The sequence below is a fragment of the Homo sapiens genome, chromosome 16 (assembly GCF_000001405.40).
Source record: "Homo sapiens chromosome 16, GRCh38.p14 Primary Assembly".
Taxonomy (NCBI): Eukaryota; Metazoa; Chordata; class Mammalia; order Primates; family Hominidae; genus Homo; species Homo sapiens.
Window position 1 is genome coordinate 62432984 of NC_000016.10, and position 19001 is coordinate 62451984.

The following is a 19001-nucleotide window of genomic DNA, read 5'->3' on the forward strand; positions in this document are numbered from 1 at the left end:
GTGGAAAATGAGTAATTTCTTAAAACATCTTTACGTGACTACACAGCTTTAAAATATAAATGGTATAACTTCTTGGTTCAGGAAGCTGTCATTAATTTAACAAATACAAAGCCAGTGAGCTTAGATATACTGGGTAATCTGCAGGATACATCAGATGGAAATGTGTGCTTTCAGGGAGATCAAGCCCAGAATGGAAGCCAAGGCTCACTGGGAAGATCTCTTGCTCTCTCTTCCATGCTCCCCTTGTCAATCTGGGAGACAGGCAATTTAGGATAATGTGGTAATGTATCCATTAGGATAGTGGAAGGGAAAAATATAGATTATTTGTTTGCTTGTTTAAATAAGTGAATTGTATAAATAATCTGTTTTCCCTTTGCTTTCAATACTGTTACTTTTTTTAAGTTCAAAAATATGAACACATCCCCAAATTAACACCTATCTCACCTTATTTGCTACTTTAATAAGTCTTTGAAAAAATTTTGTAAATCATTTGCTTTCAAAATCATTTGGCAGAAACCTCTGTTGGAAGGAATGCTAAAAACCTCATGGGAACTCTGGATTTTGTAACAGTGTGAGAGCTATAGCAATATTTAAACACTACTGGAAACCTTCTGAAAAAGCAAAAAGGAAGGAATGCTTCTTTCTACCCTATTTTAATTGTGTTATCTAATAAACTACGTGTGTGTGCCAAGATTTGAACTTGTCTATCATTTCTTTTTTTTTTTTTTTTTTTTTTTTGCACAGTGTCTTGCTCTGTCGCCTAGGCTGAAGTGCAGTGGCATGATCTCGGCTCACTGCAACCTCCACCTCCCTGGTTCAAGCAATTCCCCTGCCTCAGCCTCCTGAGTAGCTGGGATTACAGGTGCACACCATGCCCAGCTAATTTTTTTGTATTTTTAGTAGTGATGGGGTTTCACCATGTTGGCCAGACTGCTTTCGAACTCCTGACCTCAGGCAATCCGCCTGCCTTGGCCTCCCAAACTGCTGGGATTACAGGTGTGAGCCATCATACCCGGCCTGTTGTTTCTTTTCACTAATGCAGAAGAAAATAGTCAGCTGTTTTTCTTCAACAAATTAAGTTAAATTTCTTCACCTTTTAATGGGATTGAGTCATAGTTGCTTTTCCTAGCGGTAGTAGATTTATAGTCCTTTCCAAATACATGTGTTATTTTTAAATGGTTTGACTCTAGTTAATAACATGGAGAACTGAGCTGAAGAAGAATCTGACATTAAATGGAGTTTTCATTCATGTTTAAATTATATGTTCATTAACACTTAACTACTGAAAGAGATGAGCTGCCCTAATGGATTCCCAAAGTTAATCAATAAGTAGCATAACAATAGTGGTTCTCAGCCCTGGCTGCACATTACAATCACCTGGAAAATATTTTAAACTAGTCAAGTTGAAGTCCATCCAAGACCACGTAAATTAGGATGTTTGAGAGTGAAGTCTAAACATCAGTACATTTTCTGTGATTCTAATGTGCCATCCATTTTGAGAAATCTTGGTACAAAAGAGTATTCCCAAATATGTGCTCTGTATTCCTCCCACATCAGCATTATCTGGGGTGCTGGTACCAACTCAGATATACTGAATCAAAATATGGTGGTCAGGAATGACACCACTGACATGGTGGAATAAGAAGCCTCAGACCCTTTCTTTCCATGGAAACACTGAATTAACAGCAATATACAGATCAAACGGCCTTTCTGAGAACTCTAGAAACCAATTAAGGGATTATAGCACCCCAGAAGAGTACACAGGCAAAAAGAAACTCATCAAATTGGGTTTGGAAAAGTTTGTTACACTTACTCACAATAGCGCCTTCCCTTAGCAACCTCCCAACTCATGGCTTCTTCATTAAGAGGGAAATAGAAGAGGAGAACCTACATCCAACATTTTGTCTTTCCAGAAGTCTTCCCAAGGGACTGGCGTCTGTCTTGTTTGATGTAGAGTGCTAACAGAAACTGGCAAAATATTGATGCTGGTGGGACTGCTGAGAACAAAGATGCTGGTGGGACTGCTGAGAACAAAGGTGAGGGTAGTAGCTTGTTGCAGCATCAGAGACTACATTACTCTAAAAAGACACTATAGGAAGCAAAAGATTGTGAACAACTAAAAACAATAGGGGAAAACTCTTTAGCTGGGAAATTACAGCACAAACCAAAAGAAGATGCATTCCCGGATAACTTTTGAGAGAACCCCATCATCTCTAGCAGGTCTGATTGGTGAAAGTCTTCCCATATATAAAACCAATAACTAAAAACTGGGAGAGGTGGCTATTTTCTTCAAAGGCACAAATTTGAACAAAGGACAATGAGGCTTACAAAGAAACAGGCAAGCATGAGCCACTTATAAGACCAAAATAGATCTCTAGAAGCAAACCCTAAAGAATTTCAGATCTATAAATTATTTGACAAAGAATTCAAAGTAACTGCTTTAAAGATGTTCAATGAGCTAAAAGTAAACACAGATAGACAATAAAATAAAATATATGCATAAAAAACTGAGAATATCAACAGAGATAGAAACCGTAAAAAAGAAACAAGCAGAAACTTTCGAAGTGAAGCATAGAGTTACTGAATTGAAAAATTTACTAGAGGGCTTTAATGGCAGTCGTGAACAAACAGAGGAATGAATTACCAAACTTGAAGACAGATAATTTGAAATTATTGAGGCAGAGAACCAAAAAAAAAAAAAAGAAACAACAACAACAACAATAAAAAACAGAAAAAAAAAACAAAACAAGAAAAAGAAATAGAAAAAAGAAAAAGATAATCTAAGAAACTATGGGACACCAGCAAGTGGACCATTATATGCATTATGTCAGCTTAAGAAATAAGAGGTAGGCCAGGTGTGGTGGCTCACCCGGTAATCGTAGTGCTTTGGGAAGCTGAGGCAGATGGATTGCTTGGGCCCAGGAGTTAGAGACCAGCCTGGACAACATGGTGAAATCCCATCTCTACAAAAAATACAAAACTAGCCAGGTGTGGTGGTGCGTGCCTGTAGTCCCATTTACTTGGTGGGCTGAGGGAGGAAGATTGCTTGAGCCTGGTAGGTGGTTGAGGCTGCAGTGAGCAGAGATCCTGCCACTGCACTCCAGCCTGGGCAACAGAAGGAAACCCTGTCTCAAAAAAAAAAAAAAAGAAAAAAAGAAATGAAGGTAAAATGAAGCCTATACCAAGACATATTACAATCAAGCTGTCAAAAGTTGGTGACAAAAACAAAATGTTGAATGCATCAAGAGAAAAGAGACAAATGATTCATTACATATAAGGGAGCTTGCATAAGATTATGACTGGATTTATCAGCAGAAACATTGCAGGCCAGATTGGAGTAGAATGATATATCCAAAGTGCTGAAAGAAAAAACAAAACAAAAAACTGTCAACCAGGAAATATGTATTTTACAAAACTGTCCTTCAAAATGATTAAGAAATTAAGGCTTGTCTAGATGAATAAAAACTAAGGAAGTTTACCACCACTGGTCCTGCCCTACAGGAAATGCTAAAGGGAGTCCTTCAAATTTAAATCAAAGTTTGTGAGACAGCAACAAAAAAACATGAACAAATGCATGACTTCCTAGTGAAAGTAAATGTGTAAACAAGTATAGAATCTTGTAGCATTACAACATTGGTGTATGCATCATTGTTCATTCTGGTATAGAACTTAAAAGACAAAAGCATAGAAATAACAAATTAATAGATACACAATATGAGCAGATGCAATTTGTAATATCAGTAAAATAAAAGGAGGGGCATAGATATAAACAAGTACACTTTTTGTATGTGATTGAAATTAAATTGTTATCAGTTTATAATAGACTGCTATATCTGTAAAAGATACACAAAAAGGAATATGAAAAGAATCAGATTATGCTACTACAAAAACTCAGTGAAATTCAAACAAGGCAGCAAGACAGAGGAAAAAATAGATTTAAATAGATTTTAAAAATGCAAAATGGTAATAGTAAGTTCTTCCCTACCAGTAATTATAATATCTTAAATTTAAATACAAAAATAGTTGAGGAATTCAACACCACACTCTCAGCATTGAACAGATCATCTAGACAAAAGATCAATAATAAGAAAAACAACACTGGATTAAAAGTGTACCATAGACCACAGGGACCTAACAGACATTTAGAGAATATTTTCCTCAATAGATGCAGAAAACACATTTATTTCATTAGCACATAGAAGCCTCAACATTTAAGAAAAATAATAAAATCATATCAACTATCTTCTCAGGTCCCTGTAGAAGAAATCTAGAGATTAATAACAACAGGAACATATGTAACTATGCAAATACATTGAAATTAAACAACATGCCCCAGAATGACCAATGTGTGAAGAAATCAATTAAGAATGAAATTTTAAAATGCCTTTAAACAAATGAAAATAGAAACATAACATGCCAAAGCCTATGGGGCAAACAAAAGCAATATTAAGAGGCAAGTTTATAGTAAAAAAATACATCAAAAAACTAGAAAGATTTCAAATAAGTAACAATGCACCTCAAAGAACTGGAAAAGCAATAACAAACCAAGTCAAAATTAGTAGAAAAAAGAAATAATCAAGATTAGAGCAGAAATACACAAAATTGAGAAAAAAAGATACAAAAGATCAATGAAACAAAAAGTTATTTTTCTGAAAAGATAAATAATATTGACACATTTTTAGCTAGACAAAAGTTTAAAAAAAGAGAGAAGACCCAAATAAACAAAATCAGAAACGAAAATAGAGATATCACTATGGATACCACAGAAACACAAAATATCATTAGAAATGACTATGAACAATGAATGATTATCGATCAATAAATTCAAAAGCCTAGATGAAATGGATAAATTCTTGGACACATACAACCTACCAAGATTGAAGCAAGAAGAAATAGAAAATCTGAACAGACTAATAAAAAGTAACTTGATTGAATCAGTAATAAAAAATTTTAAAACAAAAAAAATCTCCAAGACTAGATGGTTTTACCAATGAATTACACTGAACCATTAAAAAAGAAATAATACCAATTATTCTCAAACTATTACAAAAAGTTGAAGCACAGATAATTCTTAACTCCTTATATGAGGCCAGCATAACCCTAATATGAAAACCAGACAAGGACACAATAAAAACAGAAAACTACAGGACAATACTCCTAATGAACACAGACAAAAAAATCCTCAACAAAATACTAGCAAACCAAATGCAACAGTACATCAAAAAGATAATACATCATAATCAAGTGGGTTTTACTCCAGAGATTTAAGGATGATTCAACATATAAAAATTAATAATGTGATGCATCGCATCAACAGAATAAAGGTCAAAACCTATGGTATCACCTTAATAGATGCAGAAAAAGCATTTGATAAATTTCAACATCATTTTATGATAAAAATTCTCAATAAATTAGATATAGAAAAAATATCTCAATAAAATAAAGGCCATATATTACATGTATTTAAGTTAGTATGATGAGCTAATATCATACTGAAAAGGGAAAAGTTTAAAACTTTTCCTCTAGAAACTAGAACAAGACAAGGATGCCCACTTTCACCATTCCTATTCAATATAGTACCAGAAGTCTCAGCAAAAGCAATAAGACAAGATAAAGAAACAAAGGGCATCCAAATGGGAAATGGGAAATGGGAAAGTCAAATTGTTCCTCTCTGCAGATGACATGATCTAATAAATTAAAAACCTAAAAACTCTACCAAGGAACTCTTAGAACTGATAAAAGAATTTAGTAAAGTTGCAGAATACAAAGTCAACATAGAAAAATCATTAGCATTTCTATAAATAAACAAAATACTCACTGAAACTGAATTCCAGAGGGCAATCCCAATTACAATAGCTACGAAAAAATATGCAGGACTACATTTAACCAAGGAGGTGAAAGATTTCCACAAGAAAAACCAGAAAACACTGACAAAAGAAATTGGAGAAGATGTAAAGCAATGAAAAGACATTCCATGCTCATGGATCAAATAATTAATACTGTTAAAGTGACCATATTACCCAAAGCGACCTAGAGATTCAATGCAATCCCTATCAAAGTACCAATGAAATTCTTCAAAGAAATAAAAAAATTCTAAAATTCTTATGGATTCATAAAAGACTTCAAATAGCCAAAGAAATTCTGAGCAAAAAAGAAGAAAATGGGAAACCTCACACTACCTGACTTAAAAATATACCATAAAGCTATAGTAACCCAAACAGCATGGTACTGGCATAACAACTAAAACATAGACCAATAGAACAGAATGTGGAACCCAGAAGTTAATTCACATATCTACTGCCCCAGGATTTTTGACAAATGCACCAAGAATACTCAATGAAGAAAGGGCAGTACTTTCAACAAATGATGCTGTAAATCATCTTATCTTATGAATAAATTATCTTATGGATAAATGATATCCAGAAGAAGAATAAACCTAGACTTCCACCTCTCACTCTATACAAAAATCAACTTCATATGGATCAACGATCTAAATATAAACCACAAAATCAAATTCTACTACAAGAAAACATAAAGGAAATATGTCAGGACATTGGTCTGGGAAAAGATTTTATGAAAAATGTCAAATGCACTGGTATCAAAAACAAAATAAACAAATGGACTTACATTAAGCCAAAAATCTTCTGCACAGCAAAGGAAACAAACAGAGTGAAAAGATAACCTAAAGAATGGATGAAAAGGCCTGGCGCAATGGCTGGCACCCATAATCCCAGCACTTTGGGAGGCTGAGGCAGGTGGATCATGAGGTCAGGAGTTCGAGACCAGGCTGGCCAACATGGTGAAACCCAATCTCTATTAAAGATACAAAAAATTATCTGAGTGTGTTGATGCAGACTTGTAATCCCAGCTACTCGGGTGGCTGAGGAAGGAGAATTGCTTGAACCCGGGAGTCAGAGGTTGCAGTGAGCTGAGATCGCGCCATTGCACTCCAGACTAAGAAACTATGAGATTCCCTTTAAAAAAAAAAAAAAAAGGAATGGGTGAAAATATTTGTAAACTATGCATCTGAAAGGTGGTTAATATCCAGAATACACAGGAAACTCAAACATCTCAACAACAACAACAAAATTCAATTAAAAATGGTCTAATAATCTGAATAGACAATTCTCAAAAGAAGACATACAGGCTGGGCACCATCGTAATCCTAGCATTTTGAGAGGCTGAGGCAGCTGGATCACTTGAGGTCAGGAGTTTGAGACCAGCCTGGCCAACATGGCAAAACGCTGTCTCTACTAAAAATATAAAAATTAGCCAAGCATGGTGGTGCATGCCTGTAATTTTAGCTACTCAGGATGCTGAGGCATGAGAATTATTTGAACCTGGGAAGCAGAGGTTGCAGTGAGCTGAGATCATGACACTGCACTCCAGCCTGGATGACAGAGCCAGATTCTGTCTCAAAAAAAATATATATATATATATACACAAAAGGCCACCAAAATATGAAAAATGCTTAATATCACTAATCATCAAGAAAATGCAAATCAAAATCACAATGAGGTATCATCTCATGCATTAGGATGGTTATTATCAAAAAGATAAAAATTAACAAATGCTGGTAGGATATGGAGAAAAGGGAACTCTTAATGCACTTTGGTGAGAATGTAAACTTGTATGACCATTCTGGAGAATAGTATGGAGGTTCTTCCAACAACTACAAATAGAACTACCATATGATTCAGCAATCCTGCTACTGGGCATTTATCCAAAGGAACAGAAATGAAGATACATCCACACCTCCATGTTTATTGCAGCACTATTTACAATAGCCAAGATACGGATTAACCTAGATGTCAACAACAGATGAATAGATAAAGAAAATATGGTATATATATACTATGAAATACTATTCAGACATAAAAAGAATAAAATCTTGTCATTCCTGGCAACATGGATGAAACTAGCAGACATTAGACTAAATGAAAGCCAGAAACAGAAAGTTAAACACTGCATGTTCATATTCATACGTGGAAGCTTAAAAATGTTAATCTTATAGAAATAAAAAGCAGAACAGAGTATATTAATATTAGAGGTTGGGAAGGGTAAGAGGAAGGGAAACATAGGGAGAGATATGTTAAAGGACACACAATTATACTAAATAGGATTAATAAATTCTAATGTTCTATAACACAGTAGGGTGACTATAATTAACAATAATAGATAGTTTCAAATAGCTAAAAGGAGGATATTAAATGCTCCTAACACACACAAACACAAAGTTTGAGATGATGGATATGCTAATTACCCTAATCTGCTTATACACTATATGTATCAAAACAGCAATAGGTACACCATAAATATGTATAGTTGTTATGCATCAATTAAAAATTAAATGAATGCAACTGAATTACACTCTCTCATCTAAAGACATAGATTGGGGGAATATTTTAAAAAACCAGAATCCAATTATATGTTATGTACAAGGGATCTATGTTAGACTGAAGAACACAATAGGCTAAAAATGAAAATTGGAAAAAGATATTTCCTGCAAAGAGGAACCTAAGGAGAGCAGAAGTACCTATACTTTTATTAGGCAAAGTAGACTTTAAAACAAAAAGTGTCACAAAAGACAAGGTAAAACGTTATATGAACATAAAAGGGTCAATGCACCAGGTACACATAATAATTATAAATATATATGCACATAACATTAATAATCTCAAATATATTAAGCACAAATTGACAGAATGAAAGAGAAAGGTTGGCAACATAGTAATAGGAATATCCCATTTTCAGTTATGGATAGAACGACAAGACCGAAGATCAGTAAGGAAACAGAGAACTTGAACCATGCTACAGAGCAATTAGACCTAATAGACATATAAAACCACACATGGAACATTCTACAATCTAGAACACAAGGTAGGTAGCAAAACAAATCTTAATGATTTAAGAGGATTGAAATCATACAAAGTATTTTTTTTTCAATGAGTGTTATGTAACTAGAAATAAATAGCATAAAGAAAACAAACAATAAATATATAGAAATGAAACAGCATACTCTTAAGTATCCAATAGGTAAGATAAGAAATCATAAAGAACATTAGAAATACCTTGAGACAAATGAAAACAAAATATTACATACCAAAACTTACAGAATGCAGCAAAAGCAGTGCTAAGAGGGAAGTTAATACCAGAAAAAACTTACACCAAAATTGAAAAAAGGCCTTAAATCAACAACCTAACTTTATACCTCAAGGAAGCAGAAAAACAACAAACTAAATCCAAATTTAGTAGATGAAGTAAGTAATAAAATTAAAATAGAAATAAAATGGAGAATTAAAAAACAATAGGACAATTTAAGAAGAACAAGAGTTTGCTTTTTACAAACATTAACAAAATTTATAAACCTTAAGATACATTAACTAAGAAAACAGAAGAATACTCAACCAAAATCAGAGATAAAGTATTACAGCTGATGATACAGAAATATAAAAGCTTATAAGAAATGTTGATAAAGAATTATATGCCAAAAATTGTATAACCTATAACGGATGAGTAAACTTATGGAAGTATACGATCTACCAAGGCTGAATCATTTTTAAAAATTTAAAAATATGAACAAATCTATAATCAGTTAAGTTGAATCAGTAATCAAAAACCTGGCAACAAATAAAAGCCCAGGACCGAGTAGCTTCACTGAATATACCAAACATTTACTGAATAATTAACAGCAGTCTTCCTCAAATGCTTCACTGAAATAGAAGAGGAAGGAACACTTCAAACTCATTTTATGTGACCAGCATTGCCCTGATACCAAAGCTAGAAAAAGATACTATAAGAAAACTATAGACTAAGGTACCTGATAAGTATTGATGCAAAATCCTCAATAAAATACAAGCAGATTGAATTCTACAGCAGAGTAAAAGAATTATGCACCATGTCCAAGTAGGATTTATTCTTGGAATGCAAGGATGGTTCAACATAGAAAAAACATCCAGTGTAATACACCACATTAACAGAATGATGAATGAATACTGAATTATCTCATTTGATGAAGAAAAAGCATTAAACAAAATTAAAAAACTTTCATAATGAAAATATTTAACTCATTTTAAATATAAGGAAGCTACCTCAACATAATTAAGGTCATATATCGAAAGTCCACAACTGGGCTGGGCACAGAGGTTCATGCCTGTAATCCCAGCCCTTTGGGAGGCCGAGGCTGGCAGATCACTTGAGGTCAGGAGCTAAGAGAGACAAGCCTGGCCACCATGGTGAAATCCCATCTCTACTGAAAATACAAAAAGTAGCAGGGTGTGGTGGCATATGCCTGTAGTCCCAACTACTAGAGAAGCTAAGGCAGGAGAATTGCTTGAACTTGGGAGGTGGAGGTTGCAGTGAGCCCAGATCATGCCACTGCACTCCAGTCTGGTTAATAGAGTGAAACTCCATATTGAAAAAAAAAAAAAAAAAAAAAGCCACCACTAACATCATACTCAATGGTAGAAATCTGAACTATTTTTTCTTTAAGAGCAGGAACAAGGCAAAATGCCCATTCTTGCCTCTTCTATTAAAAGTAGTAATTGAAGTCCCAGTCAGAGCAATTAGGCAATAAAAAAGTCATTTAAATTGTACAGAAAGAAGGAAAGTAAGCTCTTTTCACAGATGACATGTTATATGTATAAAATGCATATGTAGAATCTTTAGATTGTATACACACACTTATTAGAACTATTAAATGAATTCAGTAAAGTTTTCAGGATACAAAATCAACACACAAAAATCAGTCGTGTTTTTTCCTACACTAACAATGAGCAATCTGAAAAAGTTATAAGAAAACAATTCTATTTACAATAGTATTCGAAGTATTCTACAATAGGATCCAGTAGGATCCAATAGTACCCAAAATAACCGGGAAGAAACTTAATCAAGTAGACAAAATCAAGTAGTCACTAAGACTACAAAATGTTGCTGAAAGAAATTAAAGAAGACACATGTCTAAATGGAAAGACACACATCTTCATGGGTTAGAATGGACATTCATGGTTCATGAAAGTTAACAATGTTACAATTCAATATAAACCCAAGCAGTCTACAGACTCAATGCACTCTTCATCAAAGTTCCAATGGCATTTTTTTTTTCAGAAATAGCAAAAAAGTCCTAAAATTTATATGGAATCTCAAGGGACATCAAGTAATCAAAACAATTTTGAAAAGGAACAATTTTGGTGGCCCCACACATTCAGAATAAAAAAAAAATCACAAAACTACAATAATCAAACCAGTTTGGTGTTGTCATATAAACACATATAGACAAATGAAAATAATGAAAAGCTCAGACCTAAACCATCACACATACATTCAAGTGATTTGCAGCCGGGGGTGCCCAGACCACACAAAGGGAAATGACAGTCTTATGAACAAATGGCAAAAAATAAAGTTGGATCCATAATTTTCATCATATTTAAAAACTAACAAACATTAATTCAAATAAACATCAGACTTAAGCTATAGAATTTCTAGAAAAAAAATATTGGGGAAAAGCTTCATGACATTGAAATTGGCAATAATTTCCTTAACATGATACCAAAAGCACAGGCAATAAAAAAAAAAATAGACAAATGGGACTATATCGAACTTAAAATCTTTGCACATCAAAGAAAACAATCACCAGAACCTAAAGGCAACCTGTGGGATGGTAGGAAATATTTGCAAATATGTACCTGATGAGGGGTTAATATCCAAAATATATAAAAAACTACAACTCACCAGCCACAACAAAAATAATCTAATTTAAAAATGCATAAAGGACTTGAATGAATATTTCTTTAAAGAAAATGTACAAATTACCAACGGACATATGAAAGGATGCTAAGAATAACTTATTATTAGAGAAATACAAATCAAAACTGCAATGAAAAATCACCCCATAACCTTTAGAATGGCCTCTAATACAAAAGCAGAAAATAACAAGTGTTGTTGAAAATGTAAAAAAATTGTCACCCTTGTTCACTGCTGGTGGGAATGTAAAATAGTACAGCTACTATAAAACATAGTGTGGAGTTTTCTCAAAACATTAGAAACATAATTATCATATTGAGGATTAAGCTATGATTTTTTTTTATCTTGCCCAAATTCCTATCTAAGGAGTCTGGGAAGCCATGCCCTACAAACCATAAATTCTCATCAGATGGGTTTTATTTAACCCTGTATATCATGACTTACTTTCCAAGGTGACTCTGGCATGGCAAGGAAGAAAATCAAAATGTTTTACCCCAAAATATATTTCCTTGCCACACCTTGATATTGCTCTGCAAAGTCTCTTGTGGGAAAAATCCACAGTCTATAGAGAATCCCCTTTCCCCTTTGTTTTTCTTCCTTCCTTTCCAGATCCAGGAGATAATCAACTAAGAGCCAGGCACCCTTTTAGGGTCCAATAAGAGGCATTTTACAACCTGCTCGCTCTCTGAAGTCTGCTATCTGCGAGCTTCCTCTGCACAATAAATCTTGGTCTTCACAATCCTTTATCTTAACCTGAACATTTCCTTTGATCCCAGGTCTTCAGATAAAAGTCAACCAATTGTCAACCAGAAAATGTTTAAATTTATGTATAACCTGGGAGCCCACACTTTGAATTGTCTCGCCTTTCTGAACAAAAACAAGGTATTTCTTAAATGTATTTGATTGATGTCTCATGCCTCCCTAAAATATATAAAACTAAGCTGTACCCCGACCACCTTGGGCACATGTTGTCAGGACCTCCTGAGGGCTGTGTCATGGGCCATGGTCACTCCTATTTGGCTCAGAATGAATCTCTTTAAATATTTTACAGAGTTTGACTCTTTTCATCAACAATATGATCTAAAAATCATGCTTCTTGGTATACTGTGTATCCAAAAATACTTAAAAGCAGGATCCTAAAGAGATATTTGCATACTCATGTTTATTGTAGCATTGTTCCCAGTAGCCAAGAGGTGCTGGCAATCCGAATATCTGTTAATGGAGAAACAGATAAAAACAAATGTGCCTATACGTGCAATGGAACATGATGCAGCCTTGAAAAAACAAAGGAACAAGAAATCCTGCTGCATGCTAGGACATGAATGAACCTTGAGGACATTATGCTAAGTAAGATAAGCCAGTCACAAAAAGACAAACACCAGATGATTTCAATTTTATGATATATGTAAAGTAGTCAAGCAAATAGAAACAAAGTAGAGTGGTGGTTGCCAGGAGCTGGAGGTAGAAGAAAATGGAAAATTGTTTTTCAATGAGTAAGCATCAGTGTTGCAAGTTATAAGAAAATTTTAGAGATATGTTGCACAACAATGTGAATGCAGTTAATACTGCTATACACTTAAATCAATAAATGCTATGCTATGTGTATTTTACCACAGTTAAAATAATAAATAAATAAATGAAAATCTAATGATCAGGCTTGGGAAATTGCACTTTAAAGAAACTTTCCATCCTGTCATTATGTCAGCATCTTAGGCATAGATTAAATATGAGGAAGAAAAATTTAACAGTCTACACAGATGAAATAACTCCATTTCTTTTTGTTACCATATTATGTAAAAATGGAAGAATTTTTTCTACTATAGATGGTTTGATTTTCTGACTTTAAAAATTTGATGTCTGGAAAAGGCAGTTGCAAGAAAAGCACAAAGACCTGAAACTTATTTACAAAGAAAGTCTGGCATCAGGTGCATCCTGGATATATTCCACATGTATGAAGATGACAGTAATAAAGAAAACAGATTAGTGGTTTCAGATACAACTCTAAATATGAAATCAAAAAGTCAGAACCTTGATTTGCAATTGAGTTTTCCTGATATAGATAATTCTTATTGAAAAGATTGTTCTAGAGTGAATAGCATCAAGGTTTAGTTATTTAATTATGATTGATGATTTCCCCCTGCAAAATCTGTTTAACTCAGCTATTCAAGAATGAGTCAAGATTGAATTGGCTAAGTAGTTCAGTACTAAAGCCATGAAAGTGAAAATGATTGTTGAACTACTTGCTAATAATAACTAACAAATTTTATGCAGGTGGAATCTTAATGACTTAAGAAGATGTTTCATAGATAAATAAAATTAAACTACAGTGCTAATGCAGGGTTATACACACATATATTTTTAAGGACACTTAAACGTTTCTAAAATTGTCCCTGACTACAATTATCATTATTTCTAAAGCAGAGGACATCTTAACACCAGAAAAGTAGAAAGAGTATAATCTCAGGAAAAAAACTTCTTTTAATTGACTCATTTTTATTAAATATTTTAATATCCTTTACTTATAGGTCCAATTTTGAAACACTGGAAACTTTGCCTATTTTGGCATGCTTCCTTGGAGTCAAAGATTGTCAAATAACAATCCAAGAAGTTATGACATTTTTTAATAAAGTAAAATAATTTTGTGAAAGCTCAGACAGGAGAATTTAAGTTCCAAAGGTGGTTTCATTTCACTGAATCGGAAGTTACCTATAAATCATTATTAATAAACATGTACTGCACATATTTATTAATATGAAAATATGCATAGAATTAATTCATTTCTTTACTCATTCATTTATCTATTCAAAAACACACAGTAAATACTTAATACAGCACAAGAATTCTGTTAGGCACTGGTAGAAAATAGTTGAAGAGACTCATCTAGTTCATGTCTTCATGAAACATAATCTTCTAGGGAAGACAGCCATTGAACGAGTAGTCTCAAGTGCTCTGGAGAAAGTTTTGATCTGTATCAGAGAATTTCCAATTTACAAGGGTAGCGATTTTAAATATGTTCTATTTTCCTCTGCAACAACCATAGGCTTTGTTTTAAGATTTGTGGTTTTTGTTAGGGTGTTGTTTGAGTATTGCCCATAATTTACTAATTGCCATAACAATTTATATTAGTTCAGTAATCCCCTCATTCATTAAACATTTATAGAATAATAATTGTGTAAAAGGGCCCTAGTTAGACACAGTGAGGGAAAGGGACATTATTAGTCATGAGCATTACTATTTAGAAATTCTAGATGAATTGGAGGAAGCTGTAGGGAGAAAGGATGAACATCATTGAAAAGATAAAAGTTGCAAGAACCAAATGTCAGGCACTGACAGGTCTCAAGAAAATCAGATGAAAAGAAAGAAAGAAAGGGCTTCTGACTAGAGAAAACAAAGAAAGAATCCTGCCTTGGAGACATGAGTCCTCTCTTCCTGGACATCTCTGCTTGTTTCTCAGTTTGTCCAAAACAAGGGTGAAAATCTTAAACTTCTTTAAATGAGAAAACACTAATTTTGCTTCTTTAACCAGAAAATATTAACTATAGCAGGAATGGGATCCATGTTGGATCGCTTATGCACAGTTTTAATATGGCTATCTATTACTTACTCTAAATCTTGGAATGACCCTGGAAGAGGAATTATCAGTGCTCATGCCTCCAATGTGGTCATCACACTGACTTTCTTAGGTAACGCTGAAGAGTCTCCGTGTGGCTCCTTTTTAGTTCCTGTGACAATGAAAGACATTACTGTCTAGGACTTTAAACATTGTCAGAATCAAAAGAGACCCCATTATTGGCTACATTTGCAACTTTGGACAGCATCAGATTTTGAGAAGAAGAAGGTCAGCAAGAAAGAAAATGTGTTCTTAATTGGATGTGACATCTCCTGGAGGAAGAAAAAGATGGAGGAGTCATCAGAATGAAAGAACACATGATGATGAACAAAAAAATAGAAAATTCTAGAGAGAATGTCAATATAAGTCTAATACAATAGCCAATATACCTTCCATTCAAGCTAGGAAAAAAACCTGCATAACGTAAGCAGAAAAGGTAACTTACTAGTTCATGTTGTCAGAGGTGCTCAGACAAGAGTGACTCCATCTTGAATAGCTGCTGGGTAAAATGAGTGACACCTACTGCCTGCATTCCCAGAAGGTTAAGCATTCTTAGTCACGGGATATCTGCAGGTAAGGGAACAAGTTAATAATATTTACTGAACAGACCCAGGACTTATCAGGCCCAGGAAATAATAGACTTGGAAATGTCCTCATATTCCAATGTCTTAAGGACAAAAGCATTTTTTTAGTTTAAGTTTCACTTTAAAAATAATAATATAGATTCTTGAAGAAGACAGTAATTACAAAAAGATTAGCAATCCTGTCACAAGCTGTTGTAGCAGAGCACTTCTCCCCTGTGATTTTATTTTGCTTTGTTATATATAAAAAAGCACTGGACCTAAGGTGGACATGTTTCTCCTCTTGCGTTTGGAAATGCCCTGATCTGTTTATGGAGTAGCTAGTCTTTCATTCCTTTCACTGTACTCTGTGGACTCGTTCCAAATTCTTTATTTTTATTTTTATTTTTTTTCAAATTCTTTATTGTGAGAGATCCAAGAACCCTCTCTCAGGATGTGGATCGGTACCCCTTTCTGATAACGTAACTGACGCTTGTAAAGACTAGTCTTCCTTCAATCATAGCTAAGCCAAATGGTTCACATTAACTTATCAGGCTTTCTCCCATCCTCTCTCCCTTCCTCACTCTATCCTTCCTTCTCCATCTTCCACTTCCTCTCCTCCCTCTCAGATCGATCAAATGATCTATCTCTCTATCTATCTATCATTCTAACACAGAACAATGCAAAAACAACGAAGCCAAAAAATAGAACAAAGGCAAGAACAAAGGCTACCAAAACTCCCAAGGCTATATTTTACTGCTTGTAATTCTAAAGAAGAGACATCAGTTATTTCTTTAAATTTCCCAGTATGAAATTGTAAGGAAGGTTTTCTGGCCTATTTTTGATAATCTTAACACTAGTAACTGTATAGAGGTAGATCAGTTACCATGATTAGTTTATGGAATTTGATAATTTGATGGATTGGATTCCATCATTGAATGGAAAAACAGGAACATATTGATATCTCCACCAGAACCATTTTTAATAGGGAACAATGCTTTTTTCAAAGAACTTTTGCTGGCCAGTAAAATCAGCATGCCACTCCTGGCCTCTTCTCTCTTTGATGCTGAAAGCTAGTTAGTTTTCTCTTATTACAGGGTCTATTTTCTTACTAGTGTTATAAAAGAAATGTGTATTTGTATTGAAGTAGAGGCACACAGAAAAAGGAGTCTCGGTCTACTACAGAGAAGGATGGAAAATAATGTGAATAAGATGAGAACAATCTGTCAAGCTTGTGATTTGCAGAGATTTGCCAAAGCTGTTCAAACCCCTATACATTTAACAGGTGTGAAAATTACTCTTACTTAGTTAACTCAGATATTTCTCTTTTTTCCTCTTGCACCCACTGACACAGGCCTGAAAGTTTCCTTTTTACTTTCTAATTGATTTTCTGCACTATATTTTCTGCAGACCCCCATGTCAACATTTAGGAAAGTGAAATGCCAGTGCTATTGCAAATTGGGGAATAAAGTGTAGCTTGGACATTTTTATAATAATCACATTAGACAAAAAACGCATTCCAGGGTGTTTTTAATGGGTCTAATAGAGGCCCAGAGACTCAGGGGAGCATAAGGCTATAGGCCAAAGAATTTCAACCACCCGAGAAGAAAACTAATGGCCCATTAAAGCACACCCTGGAGTGCTTTATCGTTGTCATTGGAATTAGAATATATGTCTTTGTTTAAAATAGAATGCTACTTCGATGACATTTTAACATGTCGCCTACTTTTTCTCCATTGACTATCAGTACCTTAAAAAGTCAAGCAGAAATTAGGCTACAACAGAAGCAAATTAAACCTTTGGTTTCACAGAGAAACTAGAGGTGTTATGACAATTAAATTATTTTACAGAACTATGAAGTTATTCTATAATCCAATTATTTTACCAAGGAATTTGGAGAGTAGGTATTTGAATGGTGGGAGAAAACAGAATGTTAACGCAGTCCTAAGAAATATGACATCTGGAATAACTTTCTATTGACTAACATCAGATTCTTAAATTAATATATATTCAAGTATCTCTGAAATCTTTTTCTTTCGTTAGGTGGGTTTTAGCATTTAAATTGATCCATAAAACTTGTGTGTGGTAACATACATGTGGAAATTACAAAACTGGTAACATTTTTTAAAGAAAACTACGTTTAGATTCCTGAAACTGCATCTTTTCCTCTGTTATATAAGTTGAAAAAAATGTCCCTCTGCATTTGGTAACTATAAGACACTACTAAATCAAATGAGTTTTATTAATGGATTTGCATACTTGTATAGAAACATCTTTCATGAAAGCCTACTGACAAGAGCTAATCATCAACTTATATTTATTAAATGTTAATAGAAAACTCAGAAAGCTCAAAGAACAGTAAAAGTGACTCCTGGAAAAGATACTTTAAAAACTAAGGTAGGCATAATATTATCTGATCATCTTGCGTGGTGAGTTCATATGTCATTACATCATTTTATACTTAAGTGTATGAAGAATGTATTTTATAGTCTGTGACCAGTTAGATATATTGTCCAGAAGAGATACCTCAAAATGCAGCAGGAAATAATAAATTGATTAAGAATTAAATTCTAAGACCACATATATTAATTAGCCAGTCTTACTAGAAAGAATAGTGTGGTAAGGAGTTAATGAGAGACTGCTTACGACACAGAATAATTTTCACATGTTAAGGATCAGTGTGTACTACTTCCACTCATTCTTAATGGGCAAGATGTGTGTGTGTGTATGTTCATGTAGGTGTTTTTAAATAATTAAATGAAAAAGGGGGTAAAATTGTTACCGGTGGAAGAGATCCAAATTACCCCGAGTAACCATCAGCTAATCCATACAGGTCCACAGCAACTTCAGTTCTTCCCTCCTCAGAAAAAAAAATTCGTCCAAGAGGCATAAAGCAGAAAAAAAGAGACTGAGGCAAGTTTCAGAGCAAGAGTGGAAATTTAAAAGGCTTTAGAACAGGTAACAAAGGAAAGAACATCTGGAAGAGATCCAAGTGGGTGCCTGAAGGTCCAAGAGAAGAAAAGGGCAGAGAAAAAGATCCTTTAATCTTGATCCTAGGACGTTATGGGCTCGCCTTTTTCTCCGCATGC

At 34.1% G+C, this 19001-nt stretch overlaps 1 annotated feature.

Annotated features, from left to right (window-relative positions):
• Positions 17249–17915: an enhancer, noted in NCBI's record as "OCT4-NANOG hESC enhancer chr16:62484136-62484802 (GRCh37/hg19 assembly coordinates)". NCBI's record gives its function as "activates a minimal SCP1, AML or CMV promoter by ChIP-STARR-seq in primed H9 embryonic stem cells {active_cell/tissue: H9 hESC(primed)}" and the evidence as "EXISTENCE:reporter gene assay evidence [ECO:0000049][PMID:30033119]".